Raw genomic sequence first — 16,778 nt, 5'->3', positions numbered from 1 at the left:
CATTAATACTTGACAGAATTTTGATGCTTGATACCTGAATACTGAGTAGCATCCAATTAAAATATCAATGTGATTTTCATGTGCCAAAGATAATATTTTATTCAAGTTCCCAAAACAAACTTGAGGAGTTACATTGGGTTTGAATTCAATAAAAAAGGCCAAGTTAAAATATGAAAAGAAATGGTTTTCATTTGGTGGGAGCTGAAATCAAAGTATGCATTTGTATACATTCTCCTCAATCATCTGTCTCATGGCATTTTCCAAATTTTTGTTTATTTGTTTTAGAATAGGATCTTGCTCTGTCACCCAGGCTGGAGTGCAGTGGCACGATCTCAACTCACTGCAATCTCTGCCTCCTGGGTTCAAGCGATTCTCCTGCCTCAGCCTCCCAAGTAGCTGGGACTACAGGCGTGCATCACCAAGACTGGCTAATTTATTTTGTAATTTTTTGTAGAGATGGGTTTTCACCATGTTGCCCAGGTTGGTCTCTAACTCCTGAGCTCAAAGCAATCTGCCTGCCTAGGCCTCCCAAAGTGTTGTGATTACAGGCATGAGCTATGGCGCCTGGCCCCAGCCCCAAGTTTTTAAGGGTCTACCAGGCCAAACCCTTCTCTGCCTTCACTGCATTTGGTTTGCTTTTCCCCTTTCTTTTATCTTGCTTTGCCTTTGTCCTTTTTCTTTGCCTTTGGTTAATCCATATTGGGTACTGTCCATTCTGGTCTAGAAGTCTTTTTGTTTCTCTTAATCTCAGTTTCCATTTTCATGTCCTCTTTTTCATCTTTTAGCTGACAGTGCATTTTCTTTCTTTCTTTTCTTTTCTCCTCTCTCTCTCTTTCTTTCTTTTTTGAGACACGATCACTCAGGCTGGAGTGCAGTGGCGCCACCATCGTTCACTGCAGCCTTGAACTCCTGGGCTCAGGTGATCCTCCTTCTTCAGACTTCTGGTAACTGGGACTACAGGAGCGTGCCACCACACCCAGCTAATTCTCTTAACTTTTTGTAGGGACAGGGTCTTGCCATGTTGCCCAGGCTGGTCTCTAACTCCTGGCCTCGAGTAATCCTCCCACCTTGGCCTCCTAAAGTGCTGGGATTACAGGCCTGAGCCACTGCACCCAGCCTAGGTCAATGTTTGGACACCACCACAGTTGCTATCCTTAAACGTCTTTCATTAAGACATCACTGTCTACTTGGAGAATATTTTTAAGCCTGCTGAACTCCTCTGGGACATTCTTTTTTCTCTTTTCAGCCTGCGTCTTTCTTTTCCACTTACTCTGTATGCTTTTAGCTATGTTTTACCTGAGAAACTCACAAACACACATGCCACAAGATCTTTTAAATTATTTTTATATTTTTTTTTTTAGAGACAAGATTTTTGCTCTGTCACCCAGGCTGGAGTGCAGTGGCACGATCATACCTCAGTGCACCCTCAAAGTCCTGGACTCAAGTGATCCTCCCACCTCAGCCTCTCCAGTAACTAGGACTACAGGTACATGCTACCTTGCCCAACTAATTTTTCATTTTTTTGTACACATGGAGTCTTGCTAAATTGTCCAGGCTGGTCTTGAATTCCTGGTTTCAAGTGATCTTCTGCCTCAGGCTCCCAAAGTGCTGGGATTACAGACATGAGCCACTGTGCCCCATCCAGTAACTTTTAGGTTATCTGGAAACTACAGTGCTTGAAATTCTGTGCATCTAGAATGATTCCAATTATTGAAGTTAAAAAGGCAAACAAATTGTCTGTGATAGCAGTGATTGAGTGTTTGGGAAAGAGATGGTTGACATTAGATGGGGAGGGCCTACCAGGCATTTCTCCCTTGTTGCAAGTAGTAACAACAATTTATAAAAAGACAGAGGGGGGTGGAGTGGGGAGGGGAAGGATAAATTATGGTTTCACAAATGACGAATTTGCTTAAGCAGACAGGAAGCCCAAGGCATATTTTAGAAAAAGTTCTAGGAAAAGAAGAGTAGAATTTTAAAATTTAGGTGCATAAAACTTTAATTAATTTGAAAACATTGTACTGAACTGTAATTCCCTAATTACAATACTGAGATATTAATGAGCAAGTAAGTGAATGAATTTTTTCATTCAGCAATTATTGATTGAGTGTTGACTCTGGTGCTGTGATGGGCGCAAGCCTGGCAACAATGAATTGTAGAGTTGTTTGATAAATATTTAATCTCAAAGATTACCCAAGTTGCAGTTGTCACATAGGGCCCTGAAAGACCATTTTTTCAGTACAATAGAAAAGAATGGGAAAATGCAAAACTATGGTCATCACAATTTAGCTATGGCATTTGTTCAATAACTCTTCATTGGTTTGAATTTATACACAAAAACAAAAAATCTGAAATTTTACTCCAGACAACATCAGATATTGATGAGTTTATTGATGAATAAATGGAAGAATTGATTAATGAATTGAGGCCTTCTTGATCTCTCATCCCATTTTGCTTACTTTGTCATGTTTACTGTTTTCCTGAAAGATCAAATCCAATTTGGTGTTATCAGGAAAGCATGATGCTTCTCTGGTATGTGATGAAGAGAGAGGATGACAGATCTCTGCATTGTCCTGTGGTTAGGAACTTTTTTCTTTTTCTTTGTTGCTTTTATTTATTTATTTATTTATTTTGAGACAGGGTCTTGCTCTGTCACCCAGTCTGGTGTGCAGTGGTGGGATCATGGCTCACTGCACCTCAGGCTCAAGCAATCCACCTGCCTCAGCCTCCCAAGTGGCTAATTTTTTAAATTTTAAATTTTTTTTTGTAGAGATGGGGTCTCACTATATTACCCAGTCTGGTCTTGAACTCCTGAGCTCAAATGATCCTCCTACCTCAGTCTCTCAAAGTGTTGGTGTGAGTCACTGTGCCTGGCTGATTAGGACCTTAAAGTACACACCCAGTTCAGATCAAGTTTCCAACTTGTTACTGAGAAAAGATTTTAGCCAGATGAAAGTCTGCTGAAATCAACAAAGGTGTAAGAAATGTCCTTTGCTTGAAATATTTACCTAGTACATTAAAAAAATCTTTTGAGGCCAGGCACAGTGGCTCATGCCTGTAATTCCAGGACTTTGGGAGGCCGAGGTGGGTGGATCATGAGGTCAGGAGATCGAGACCATCCTGGCTAACACAGTGAAACCCTGTCTCTACTAAAAATACAAAAAAAAAACAAAATTAGCCGGGCGTGGTGGTGGGTGCCTGTAGTCCCAGCTACTCAGGAGGCTGAGGCGAGAGAATGGTGTGAACCCGGAAGGCTGAGCTTGCAGTGAGCCGAGATCGTACCACTGCACTCCAGCCTGGGCAACAGAGCAAGACACAGTCTCAAAAAAAAAAAAAAGTCTTTTGAATATCATTATAGATTCCTGAATTTTTATTTATGTATTTATTACATTTAAAAATTTTATTTTATGGAGACACAGGGTCTTCCTATGTTGTCCAGTTCAGTCTCAAACTCCTGGGCTCAAGTTATCTTCTTGCCTCAGGCTCCCAAAGTGTTGGGATTACTGGCATGAGCCATCATGCCAGGACTGAATTTTTATTTATAATCAATCACAGTCATTATTCTTTTTGACGATCAAATTATCCCACATTTGGCCATAGACTCCTTTGTTTTGAGTCTTTCCCGTTGACCTTTGAGTACAGTTTTTTATGTATTCCCTGTATTTTCCTTGCCCCAGACCTGGAATCAGCCATTTTTCTAAAGAACTCTGATTATGGCTGTGTGTGTGCTGGCTCACGCCTGTAATCCTAGCATTTTGAGAGGCCGAGGTGTGCAGATTGCTTGAGTCCAGGAGTTCGAGACCAGTCTGGGCAACATGACAAAACCCTCTCTCTACTTTTTTTAAAAATTAATTCATTAAAAAAAAAAAGAACCTGATTACTTAGGATGGAGAATGGTATTTGGAAACCAATATTCCATTACCACTGGGGATGATTGCTTCTAGCACTTACAGAGATTAGAAGAACAAGAACACACAGCAGATTTTTTTTTTTAAGGAAATAGGCAAACTGATTCTAAAATTTATATGGAATTGGAGAGGACCTAGATACCCAAAATAATCTTGAACAAAGATAATATACATTACCTGAAATCAAGACTTTCAATAAAGCTTAAGACAGAGGGGTAATGGTCTAGGATTAAACAACTGGATCAATGAAACAGAACAGAGAATCCAGAAATAGATACGTACACGGTTGATTGATAACTGACCAATGCTCCAAGTTAATTCAATGTGGGAAAGAAAGTCTTTTTATAGGCCGGGTGCGGTGGCTCACGCCTATAATCCCAGCACTTTGGGAGGCCAAGGCGGATGGATCACGAGGTCAGGAGATCGAGACCATCCTGGCTAACACAGTGAAACTCCGTCTCTACTAAAAAAACAAAAATTAGCCGGGCATGGTGGCCGGCGCCTGTAGTCCCAGCTACTTGGGAGGCTGAGGCAGGAGAATGGCATGAACCCAGGAGGAGGAGCTTGCAGTGAGCCGAGATGTGCCACTGCACTCCAGCCTGGGCTACAGAGCAAGACTCCATCTCAAAAAAAAAAAAAAAAGTCTTTTTATAAATATTGTTGGACAACTGCATATCTGTTTTTTTTCTTTTTCTTTTCTTTTTTTTTTTTTTAGATGAAGTCTTGCTCTGTGGCCCAGGCTGGAGTGCCCTGGCGTGTTCTTGGCTCACTGCAACCTCTGACTCTCAGTTCAAGCAATCCAGCCTCAGCCTCCCAAGTAGCTGGGATTACAGGTGCCTGCCACCACACCCAGCTAACTTTTGTATTTTTAGTAGAGACAGGGTTTCACCATGTTGGCCAGGCTGATCTCGAACTCCTGACCTCAAGTGATCCGTCTGCCTCGGCCTCCCAAAGTGCTGGGGTTACAGGTGTGGGCCACTGCGTCCAGCAAATAGAAAAGAATGTATGGCCTTCTTTTTATTCATTCATTTCATTCATGTATGACATTTGTTTGTTTGTTTTTGTTTAGTTTTTTTTTTTTTTTTTTTTGAGATGGAGTCTCGCTTTGTCACCAGACTGAGTGCAGTGGTGCCATCTCGGCTTACTGCAACCTCCAACTCCCTGGTTCAAACGATTCTCCTGCCTCAGTCTCCCCAGTAGCTGAGATTACAGGCATGCATCACCACGCCCAGCTAATTTTTGCATTTGTAGTAAAGACAGGGTTTCACCATCTTGCCCAGGATAGTCTCAGCCACCTGCCTTGGCCTTCCAAAGTGCTGGGATTACAGGCGTGAGCCACCACGCCTGGCCAACACATGCTGTATTTTTAAATTATGAGTTCAAATGGATATTTGAAGTAAAATCTAGTATTACAGAGTTTTCACATTTTCTTTGATGTGATATTTTTGTATCTCCTTTCTCTTACACTGAAAATCTTGGTTCTTAATAATAATTATTAATTCTTTGCAGATCTTTTTGCCCTTAGAATACATCCCTCTAAGGAGGTACAATCAGAATACTGTTTTCAAAAATCACTTGAAATAATTATTTTCTCTATATAGTTATGCTACCAATTACATATACGGTTGGGTTTATTTTTTCATTTATTTTTGATTTTCAGGTTTGTCTTTTTCTATTTTAATTTTTGAATATGTAAAACATTTATATGGTTCAAAAGTGAAAAAAATATAAAAAGGTATACTCAGAGAGGACCCTGTTTCATTCCTTTCCACCTCATCCTCCATCCCACTTAGGTAGGAATTGATGTTAGCTTTTTATTTATCCTTCCAGTGTTTCTTTTTGAAAAAAAAATTTTTAATATTCTGTTCCTTTTATATTTAACAACGTATCTGGAAAATTATGTCAAGTCAGTACACGCGAAATTTTCCCATTATTTTTAAACAGCTGCATAGTACTCCATAGTGCTACACTGTGTGGATGAACTGGATTAAATTAGCCACTTATAGATGTATGTGTATATAAGTACCTTGTTAGACAATCACAGGGTTCTCTCTGGTATCTGGTCATACTCGTTTTCTAGAGTGGCTGCAACAGATTACCACAAATTGCGTGGCTTAAAACAACAGAAATTTATTTTCTCACGGTTCTGGAATCCTGAAGTCTGAAATCAAGGTGTTGGGCTTCCTCTGGAAGACTCCAAGGGAGAATCCTTTCTTGCCTCTTCCAGTTTCTCTTGGCTATAAGGGTCTTTTCGTTTGTGGCTCCATAACCTCAATCTCTACCTTGGTCTTCATGTGCCCTTCTCCTTTGTTTCTATGTTTTCACTTCTTTTGTTTCTTACAAGCACATTTGTCATTGGATTTAGGGTCTACCCAGATAACTGAGGATCTTATTATATTTGCAAAGATCCTTCTGCCAAATAAAGTCTCAGTCACAGTTTTCAGGGATTAGGACATAGACATATCTTTTTGGGGGGAAGGGTGGGCACTGTTCAACCCACTACATTGGCTATTATAAATAGTGGTGAAAGGAATAAACTTCCATGCATGGTTTTATATTTATTTCTCCATAGAGTTATCCTACCAATTACATATATTGTTAGTTTTATTTTTTCCATTTATTTTTTATTTTCAGGCTTGTCTTTTTCTGTTTCAATTTTTGAATATGGAAAACATTTACATGGTTCAAAAATGAAAAAAATATAAAAAGATATACTCAGAGAGGACACTGAGTCCTTTCCACCTCATCCTCTATCCCACTTAGGTAGGCATTAATGTTAAGGTTTTTTTTTAAATCCTTCCAGTGTTATATATTAGAATATCTGCAGGGTAGATTCCTAGAAGTCAAAATTCTGGCTGGGTGTGGTGGTTCACACCTGTAATCCCAGCATTCTGGGAGGCTGAGGCCCGTGGATCACTTGAGGTCAGGCGTTCAAGAGCAGCCTGGCCAACATGGTGAAACTCTGTCTCTACTAAAAATACAAAAATTAGCCAGGCATGGTGGCACATGCCTGTAATTCCAGCTACTCAGGAGGCTGAGGCAGGAGAATCGCTTGAACCTGATAGGCAGAAGTTGCAGTGAGCTGAAATCACACCACTGCACTCCAGCCTGGGGGACAGAGCAAGACTGTCAAAAAAAAAAAAAAACAACAAAACATGGGAGGCCAAAGCCCATGGATCACCTGAGGTCAGATGTTCAAGACCAGCCTGGCCAACATGACAAAACCCCCTCTCCACTAAAAATACAAAAAAATTAGCCAGTCGTGGTTGCGCACGCCTGTAATCCCGGCTAATCGGGAGGCTGAGGCAGGAGAATCGTTTGGACCTGGCGAGATAGCTCCACTGCACTCCAGCCTGGGTGACAGAGCCAGACTTCATCTCAAAAAAAAAAAAAAAAAAAAGAAAAAGAAAAAAGAAAAAAAGAAATTGAAATTCTGGGTCAAAAGGCAAATATTTATTTTTGCCAAATTTCCTTCCATAAGAGTTGTAGCATCTAACATTTCTACCAGCTATGTTTTCTATAGCTCTGCCACCAGACTAGAGTGTGTTATCACACCTTGTCTCTGTAGAGGTTTTTTGTTTGCTTGTTTTTTCTAATTCAAATGATATTTCAGAGTAGTTTTAATTTGCATTGCAAGTTTTAAACTTTTGATCTCATTATTCTTATTTGCTGATTACTGTAGGACATTTATTCAACAACACTTAATGTCTGCATAACACTCGGCACTCTATAACTCCAGGGATAAAGAATTCAGTGCAAAGCAAGTGAAGCCCTCAAAGAGTTCACAGCCCAGCAGGAACGAGTTTAGAAAGAACAACAGAAAATAAGAAGAGCCATATGGAATATGCAAGTGGGTGAAAAAGTACCAACATAATAATACTATATGTTTCTTCCTTTTTAAGAGAAGAATTGGAGTTCTACATTTTCATTACTGGGTAAAGGCTAGATATGATGGGTGCGATGAATTTATATGCACAGATGCCTGTTTCTGGCATTACCAAGCTTGATAGTATCACATGTTCACTGTACACTGTCATTTATTCCCACATGTATCTAATCGCTCAGCCTCCTTAACTGGATTGGAAGCATTGGAGGTCAGGAGGATGCACCTTATACATCTTTTATCTCCAGGGTTTAGAATCATGCCTTACACATTGCAGGTGCTCAATAAATGTTTGATGATGATGGCAGCTTGCTTTGCAATTAAAAAAATGGAGTTTCCTAAGACAAGTATATTCTATTTTTTCAATCAGTGTAAGGAAAAGTATCTTCTCCTAAAGGAATTGGACAGTGAACATTGTGGTTTACTATGTGTAATCAGGTACAAGCTCAATTGCTGTAACGAAGACTCTCAAAATGCCTTGACTTAAGATAAGACATTATTTTGCTCTCTTGTTACACTTTTAGAAGTTTGTGGTCCTGATCTGTTATCATCTGGGGACTCAGGCTGGTAGGGCCGCTCTGCCATCATCTTGAGCATGGGGCTTTCATCTCCGGGTCTGAGAGTGATCCATGTTATTGGGTTTATCAGTAGTCTGTTCTTTTTTATTGCTGAGTAATATTCCTTTGTATGAATGTGTCTATACAAAGGAATATTACACAAATCTAAAAATAGAGAGACGCTCTAAAACTGTGAGTTTATTTATTTATTTTTTCCTTTTCGCCTGCCTGGTTGAAATATGTAGGACTACTTTAGCTTTTTATTGTATTTCATTTAATAAACTTTTATTGAGTGACCCTATGGGCCAAATACTGTGCTGAGGGATGGGGATACAAAGGCGTGTAAATCCTTGTCTCTTCCCTCAAGTTACAGTTCAGCTAGAGGAGAAAAAGACAGTTGTGTTGTCCCAATTTGGATGGAAACCACGTGATTCTACCTTAAGTACTTGCTGAAAAAGCTGAAAGGATGTCAAAACTTGCAGGATTCGGATGCCACTATACAATCCTACAGTGTAAGAAATCTCCTGACCATCTTTCAGCTCAAAGTCTTGCCCCAGGGAATAAGCGCCTGGCTTTAAAAAGTATACAGGCCTGAGTCAGATCCCTCAGGTTCTATTTCTGGTTCTGCTACTGGATCGCCATGTGGCTTGCACAACAGAGAACGCACCCTTCCTACAAAGAGGCAAGATCCCAAGGAGCCCTCTGAGCGAGCGACCTCCATACCCCAAGTGAGGTTGGGTTCCAGGAACCTAGGGGCCGGCTGAACTCCTCACCGGGGCACGCTCTTCCCTAGTGCCAAAGCAACTCATTTTAGTGTGAAATTAGAGCTGCGATTTCGGCACGGTCAGAGGGGCTTCGACTCGCTCCCTTGTGTGAATCCAGAAGCTAAACCTAAAAATAGTTTGCATTTGAAAAGCCTTGACACTTTTCTTACTGAGATTTTTGGGCGTGTGTGGTTCACGTTGCACTAGAGGAAAATGGGGTGGGCGCGCAGGAGGGAGAGTGAAACCACGGGCGATCTAGGCTGCCGGGGCAGGGGACGGACAGAGGCCGCCCTGCGCTTCTGCGACCCTGGAAAAGAGGTCGCAGCGCGTCGCCTGCTGGAGAACTTCATTTCCCAGGAGCACTTGCGGCCCGCGGCAGGGCGGGGCGACGTGCCCAATGCCGGCCCACTGACTCCCATCGTGCCGAAGACCGCCAGCCTGATTGGAGGACTGTCTCGCGGTGCATCTCGGGACTTGTAGTACAACGTGTGCGTGAGAGAAGCTCCTTTGTGATTCGAGGCGCCTTCTCGGCCCTCTGAGCGCGTCCCCGCTAGGTTTTGGCGCGGACGGGCTAGTGTCCCGCCAGGAGAGTTCGGCCTGTGTGCGCGTGCGTAGCGCCCAAGGGGCCGGCCGGCACCTCCCGCGGGGCGGGGCCTTCGGTTCCCCGTCGACACCGCCTTCCTGCCCCGCCCCTCGCCGTGACCGGCCCGCCCCTCCTTCCTGGAGACACAGCTGAGGCGGCGGCGGCGGCGGCGGCGGCGGCAGCAGCGGGGCTGGGGGCGGCGAGTGGCCCGCGCGACACGCGCCGGCCTCGACCCTATGCTTTGATTCGCGTGGCGCAGGCGCCTACTGCCCCGCCGGCGGGGCCCGGGCTTCCTGCCGCGGGATGTTCTCCCGAAGGAGCCACGGGGATGTGAAGAAGTCCACCCAGAAGGTGCTGGACCCGAAGAAGGACGTGCTGACCCGCCTGAAGCACCTGCGGGCGCTGCTGGGTGAGGCGCGCGCCGGGCGCGGGGGTCGGGGCGCCGGGTTAGGGGCACCTGCCGGGAGGGCGCTCCTCTGTGCAGGGGTCGGTGGCTGGGAGGCTGGGGAGGGGGATGGGTGGGCGTCCGACCCCCTTCCCTGGATCTGGGCTTGGACCCCCGGGGCTTTGTTTCCAGAAAGCCGCAGCCTGGCCCTCGGGCACTGCTCCCGTCGCCCTCGAGTTAAACTTAGCCCAGATTCTCGCTGGGCGCCTGCGCTCCCGGAGAACCTGGAGGCCGGGCACAGAGGTACCTGTCCCCTGTCCTCCCAGCAAGTGAACTGGATCCCAAGTGGTCATCACGTGCACACATTGAACTGTCACCTCCCCCTTTCATTTTTAAAATTTTATTTTTGAGTCTGAGACCCTAAGTAGACCGAGACCCCAAGTGAACCCAGCACAGACCTAATTGGGCTCTCATCTCTGTCATCCCCCTTTTAAATTTTATTTTTACTTTTGAGTGTGAGACCCCCATATAGACCGAGATTCCAGGCGATCCCAGCACAGATTTGTCATCTGTCTTCCCATGCTGCTTTTTAAATTTAATTTTTATTTTGGGTCTGGCTGCTTCAGTTTCTTTGTGTCCTTGGTGTGAAGGGGCCTTCTCTTCCTGCTTGGAGAGAGGGGTGGTTTTCTTGGGTTCAGGGAGGCTGCTTCTCCTTTATTACCGGCATGACAGTGATGCTGTCTGCCACCTTCTGGTTTATGGCCTGCCAGGTGGAGGTTCTGAGGAGCTCAGGTGGGCTTGGAGTTGACCTGTGATGAAGCTCGCCCCTGTGGGTGTGAGGTGTCCACAAGGCTTCCTGTCACCTGCTGCATGTGATCTGTAGCTGGTTCGCCTAGGCTATGTTTTGTTTTCTGTATTTTTTTACATCCTAAGTCTTAACTTTTCTTTGGGATGAAAACACCTTTGCTATCTATAGACACACTTACCTGTGTATTTGGTGGCGAAGGAAAGAACACCTTATGTTTCTTCCAGGTGTCTTTTAGTCCCAAAATTCACAAAAATCGCCTAGTGCTAATGTGTCTGTCACTTGAAAGAATATTGCATAAAATGATTTAACGTGTGAAGATTTTAAATAAAGATCTTGTTCATGAGATCAGAAGTTGCTGATTATTTCTATTTATATTCTACCTCTGAGGGGGAGAAGAACCCAAGCCAAACCAAACCACACCTGATTTTGCCAAGTGAAGTTATTCACAATCTCACATACCTTGAGGTTACACTGACTTGTTCAGTTTGAAATGAAATGTAAATTAGTTGCTGTTACAGGGATTCGTTTTCAAGACTTTTGAGAGTGAAGTGTGGAGAGTGAAGTGTGGCGTTCTTGGTAAACTGAATTTTCTACTTCCTGTAGATACCATGCACGCACAGGTTGCACAATACACAGGTTGCATTGTGTGGAGTTCCTGGTAGTGACTGATTAACACCTACTGCAGGGACATTTTTGATAAAGGAGAGTTGAGCTGTGTTTTAAAGCGTTTGATACTTTGAGCCTTTTTCTGTGCTTTAGCGTTTAAATTTTTGTTCTGTCCAGGTCTGCAAGATTAAGTTGGCTACATTTTATAAAGGCAGAATCAAGTAAACCTAGATCAGGTTATTTCTTAGCACACAGTACATTGTTCCCATTCTGAGAAAGTTGATTCTTTTCAAGTTTGTAAAATTGTAGTTTCACTCTAAGGTGTAGGTCTTATTTTAGGGAACTTTCTTTTATCATTTCACTGAACTCATCATGACCTCAGTTTTGTAACATGGAGAGGTTCTTTTATATTTCCTTAGGTGTATGTTTTTTGTTGATATACTTACTAGTGGAGTGGCCCAGTTTGCTTTGTTTATTACTGTGATCTTTGTAGGGACTAGATTTTTGTAAAATGTGTCTGAGGAATTCTAGTCATAATATTTAATGTAAACTTTCACTTGCTCCTGTGATTTATTAAAGACTTAAAAAGTAGTACGTAATGCACTAGTTCCTACCTAATCACATATTCTATTTCATTGCTACTCGAAAAAAAGTCTACTTAGAAAACAAAGGCCTCTTGAACTGAAAGTTAGGAATTAAGCCAAGATTAAGGAAACTATTTGAAGGAAATGAATAGTAATTACTATTGTATTTTTATGTGTGTATTTATATAACACTTTTGCTTTTCATATATTTTATCTTCAAGTGATAATAAAGTTTTTTTTTAAGTATGCAAAGATTATGCCACTTACTTGGGTATTTGCAGCCTGTCCCTGCCGCCTGCAGCTTCATGACTTGAGCTAGTTACGTAGCCTGTCTCTGAACCTCGGTTTCTTTGCTCTGTAAAATGGGTATGGTAATGTTTGCTTTTTAAAGGATTATTGTGAGTATGATGAATAAATGACTTCAGCTTGAAGTAGGCCTTTAACAGTTTCTTTCCCATTACATATCTCCCACCATTAATAGGATAGGACCAGTATTTTGATAGGTAATTTTTCTCCGTCTTTCTTATTTTTGATAATAGTGATGAATTTGTTCTCTTTTCCTAAAAAGTAGTCTGTATTTAAAACAACTGGGTGAGAAACATAAAATTAGCTGTGGAAGTAGAGTATTTCTTAGTATCATGGTAATAACTCCAATTTGGATGTAGATACTTTCACCTGGCTATAGACTGGTCTGGTATGATTAACTTTATTTTACAGAGGGGTAAGCTGAGGCACAGGCAGGCTTGACACGTATCAAGCCATGTAGCAGACGGTTTACTTATGTTAGAGGAAGAACGAAGAGCTGTTAGGTCCTGTGACTTCCAGTTCTTCCTACACTGTTGACAAAACAAAAACCAAAAAACCCTGTGTATTACCATATTGCTCCAGCAAAGATTCCATGTCTTTTTTTTAACAGGATCTTTGCTCTGTTGTCCACGTTGGAGTACAGTAGTTTGACCTTGCCTCAACTGCTGCAGCCTTGGCCTCCCTGGCTCGAGTAATCTCCCACCTCAGCCCCTGGAGTAGCTGGGGCTACAGGCATGTACCACCACACTAGGCTCATTTTTGTATTTTTTTTTTTTGAGATGGAGTCTCACTCTGTTACCCACGCTGGAGTGCAGTGGTGCCGTCTTGGCTCACTGCAACCTCCGCCTCCTGGGCTCAAGCAATTCTCATGCCTCAGCCTCCTGAGTGGCTGGGATTACAGGTGTGTACCACCATGCCTGGCTAATTTTTGTATTTTTAGTAGAGACAGGGGTTCACCGTGTTGGCCAGGCTGGTCTTGAACTCCTGGCTTCAGGTGATCTGCCCGACTCGGCCTCCCAAAGAGCTGGGATTACAGGTGTGAGCCACCATGTCCGGCCAGATTTTTGTATTTTTTGTAGAAGACGGGGTTTTGCCATGTTGCCCAGGCTGGTCTTGAGCTCACAGACTCAAACGATCCTCCCACTTCAGCCTCCCAAAGTGCTGGGCTTACAGGCATAAGCCACCATGCCTGGCCAGATTCTAATTAAAAGTTGAGTGCTTACTATGAGTCCTAAATTAGGATATAGAACTGGCATTGATGTAGTGAGAAGAATAGATACAAAATAATAGTAAATTTATGGTGTGTTATGTAATTAGATGGTCAGGTATATGGTAGAATCCATTATAGGATTTCAGAGAACAAAAGAGATAATTAAGAATGTCATAAAAATAGGGGCATCTTTAAGGAGATTTGTAGTAGTCTGTTCTCACTCTGCTAATAAAGACATACCTGAGACTGGGTAATTTATAAAGGAAGGAGGTTTAATTGACTCACAGTTCCACATGCCTCGGGAGGCCTCACAATCATGGCAGAAGGTGAATGAGAAGCAAAGTCATGTCTTACATGGTGGCAGGCAAGAGAGCTTGTGCAGGGGAAATCCCATTTATAAAACCATCAGATCTTGTGAGATTCATTCACTACCATGAGAACAGTATGGGGGAAGCCACCCTCATGATTCAATTATCTCCACCCGGCCCTTGACATATGGGGATTATTACAATTCCAGGTGAGATTTGGATGGGGACACAGCCAAATCATATCAACGTTTTACTTACGCTGGGTTCCAAAGAATGGTTAGACTAGTTCTGTCCAATAGAGATATAATGTAAGCCACATGTGCAATTTTAATCTTTTTTAGTGACCACATGTTAAAAAGTAAAAAGAATCAGGTGAAATTAATTTTAATAGTGCATTTTATTTAACTCCATGTATTTAATATATATTATATCTGCAGGTAATCAATATAAAATGCTATCAGTATTTTTTACATCTTTTTTTCATATGAAGTTTTTGAAATTCAGTGTATATTGTATACTTACAGCACATATCAGTTCACACTAGCTGTTTTTCAAGTGCTCATTAGCCATATGTCACTAGTGGCTGCACACTGGACATAGCAAGGTTAGAATCTGGGAAAGTAGAGGGGAAGGTCAATTACAACCAGGGGAAGATGGAAGAGCTGGTGGCAGAAGTAACATGACAGTGATGGTAAGTAACATGGCGAGGTGTGGTGTTGGGCACTGAGGACCCTTGCCCAGAGGATGTCCCCAGTGTCCTGCATAGGCCAGGGGTAGGGTAGGTTCCTGGGGAAGGAGTGGAACAGTAGCCTGACAAGCAGAAGCTGAGGCTGGCTGGGGGATCAGAAGCCAGACTCAGGTCAAATCAAGTGACCTGGGTTTGGACCAGAGAGTAGAGAACCGTCTCTCACAAATGCTGTATATACAAACAGAGCAAAACATAGCATTGTCGTATAGTTCCTTTTGTGCATATGTTGCTCATGTTGCTCTAGGTAGGAACAAATTGACTTACAGTTGTAACTGTTGTCTTTATTTTATCATTAGCATTTTTGATGTTTTGTTCCTCTCATTTTTAAGTACAAACATTTGTTGAGACCATATCCCATAATTTAGCTTACCATTTCCTGGATTGTGAAATTTTGTTCTTTTCTCTCCTTCCTTCTTTCCTTTTTTTTCTTCCTTCCCTTTTCCTGATAGAAGTAATACTGCAGTAAACATCTTGAGAAGCAGCTTTTTCGATATTTCCTTAGATTTTATTGAAGTAAGATTGCTGGGTTTGAACATTCGATGACTTGTTTCACAGTGCTTTTCTAAGTGTTGCTCCATTGGCCCTGCTAGCAGCAAGGATTGAGGCTGCCATTTTCACTGTAGTCTGACTACCAATAAACACCTTTTTATAATTTGATAATTGGTGGTAGGTATTTGGGATAATAGGAGTGTCATCTACAGAGTGAGAACAATTGGGAAGGGGGAAGGGATCCTGGGCAAGGACGGGGAAGATGAGTTTGGTGTTCTACATGTTGAGTTTAAGAAAAGGCAAGATCCAAGTGGCGTGTCTGGGGGGTTGTGGGACATGGGATCTGGACCTTAATGAAATGATAGAATGCTATCATATATTTAGTTTTATTGGTTATTATCATCATGACATCATTGAATCTTTTTGCAACTGTGACAAAGGAAGTGTTCCTATCCCCAGCTGAGGAAACTGAAGCTCAGTGAGAATAGCTACTTGTCTGCCAGCAAGTGGGAAAGCTGAGACTTATCTGATTATGAAGGCCATGTTATGCTTCTGCTAGTTATCTGATTCAAAAGGAAATTTACATATCAGAAAATGTATTTATCTAGTAGAATGAATGATAACATAGAAACAAAATCACAACAGTTTTTGCATGCCTCCCAGAAATGTTGCTGTGATATTGGCCTCTCTCTTTCTGGTCCATTTTTCTGCATTTTTCTAGGGAGACTTGGGATTATCATATTTGATTTGAGCATGGGCAGACGATAAACAATCTCCTCCGGTGTTTTAGTGTTCATTGCCTTCCCTGTAACCTTGGCAGGCCTAGCAGGTGATAAATATTTGCGTGGACATTAATGCCACGTGGACATTCTACAACTAGAACAAAGCTGGGAGGTGTAATTTCAAACTCTTCAGGCAGTCTTAGTATGGTCTCTCTCTGTTGACCTTATTTGGTACAAAGTGATTTTGTCGTAATGCTTCCTTTGCTGTTTTTTCATCAATTACATTTATAACCTCTAGAATGTAAATGGAACTTTGGACACGTATATGTAGCACAAATACACCATCCATCCCTCTAAGGCTTGAGGTTGTCTAGACTTCTGATGTGAGAAAAGTGAACACAGGGTAAATGTCCAAACTCGTTTAAGATAACTGAAAAAGGTTGGCTTCCATCTTTTACTCTGAGAAGGGAGATAATTGGTAGGTCTAGAATATTTTGCTGTAAACTTTTATAATTTGGATTTTTATTTTGTAAGTACTTTATTTGTGGACAGGCATAATACTTTTACTAGGTATGTAGAGTACTGATTTTTGGTTACCAAACGGGGTATCAATATAAAACTATAGAGAATTTTTTATTTAGAAAAAACCTTGGCGGGGTGCGGTGGCTCACGCCTATAATCCCAACACTTTGGGAGGCCGAGGTGGGCAGATCACGAGGTCAGGAGTTGAAGGCCAGCCTGGCCAACATGGTGAAACACCGTCTCTAGTAAAAATACAAAAATTAGCCAGGGGTGGTTGCGCGTGCCTGTAATCCCAGCTGCTCGGGAGGCTGAGGCAGGAGAACTGCTTGAATCTGGGAGGTGGAGGTTGCAGTGAGCAGAGATCGCACCACTGCACTCCAGCCTAGGCAACAGAGTAA

At 42.4% G+C, this 16,778-nt stretch overlaps 1 protein-coding gene and 1 pseudogene across 18 annotated transcripts in view, besides 4 other annotated features; one reads left to right on the top strand and one right to left on the bottom strand.

Annotated features, from left to right (window-relative positions):
* LLPHP1 (LLPH pseudogene 1) lies at positions 597-1,289 on the bottom strand (annotated as a pseudogene).
* Positions 9,372-9,571: an enhancer, noted in NCBI's record as "active region_17615". NCBI's record gives its function as "activates an Ori minimal core promoter by ATAC-STARR-seq in GM12878 lymphoblastoid cells {active_cell/tissue: GM12878}" and the evidence as "EXISTENCE:reporter gene assay evidence [ECO:0000049][PMID:35858748]".
* Positions 9,372-9,690: a biological region, named in NCBI's record as "Sharpr-MPRA regulatory region 2040".
* Positions 9,396-9,690: an enhancer, noted in NCBI's record as "tiled region #2040; HepG2 Activating DNase matched - State 1:Tss, and K562 Activating DNase unmatched - State 1:Tss". NCBI's record gives its function as "activates a minimal TATA promoter and a strong SV40 promoter by Sharpr-MPRA in HepG2 and K562 cells {active_cell/tissue: HepG2 | K562}" and the evidence as "EXISTENCE:reporter gene assay evidence [ECO:0000049][PMID:27701403]".
* Positions 9,682-9,941: a silencer, noted in NCBI's record as "silent region_12712". NCBI's record gives its function as "represses an Ori minimal core promoter by ATAC-STARR-seq in GM12878 lymphoblastoid cells {active_cell/tissue: GM12878}" and the evidence as "EXISTENCE:reporter gene assay evidence [ECO:0000049][PMID:35858748]".
* The window catches only part of RALGAPA2 (Ral GTPase activating protein catalytic subunit alpha 2), a 323,115-nt gene continuing 316,168 nt past the window's right edge, over positions 9,832-16,778 (top strand). For all 18 annotated transcript variants that reach the window (XR_007067471.1, XR_937111.3, XR_007067470.1 and 15 more), the window contains exon 1: positions 9,832-10,101. Coding sequence is in view for 9 of the 18 variants with exons in the window: in XM_005260768.3 (XP_005260825.1) it covers positions 9,996-10,101 (106 nt within the window). In the remaining 9 variants the exon portion in view is untranslated. The remainder of the gene's footprint in view (positions 10,102-16,778) is intronic.

Source organism: Homo sapiens, chromosome 20 (genome assembly GCF_000001405.40).
Source record: "Homo sapiens chromosome 20, GRCh38.p14 Primary Assembly".
Classification (NCBI taxonomy): Eukaryota; Metazoa; Chordata; class Mammalia; order Primates; family Hominidae; genus Homo; species Homo sapiens.
This window is presented reverse-complemented; position numbering and strand designations above follow the sequence as displayed.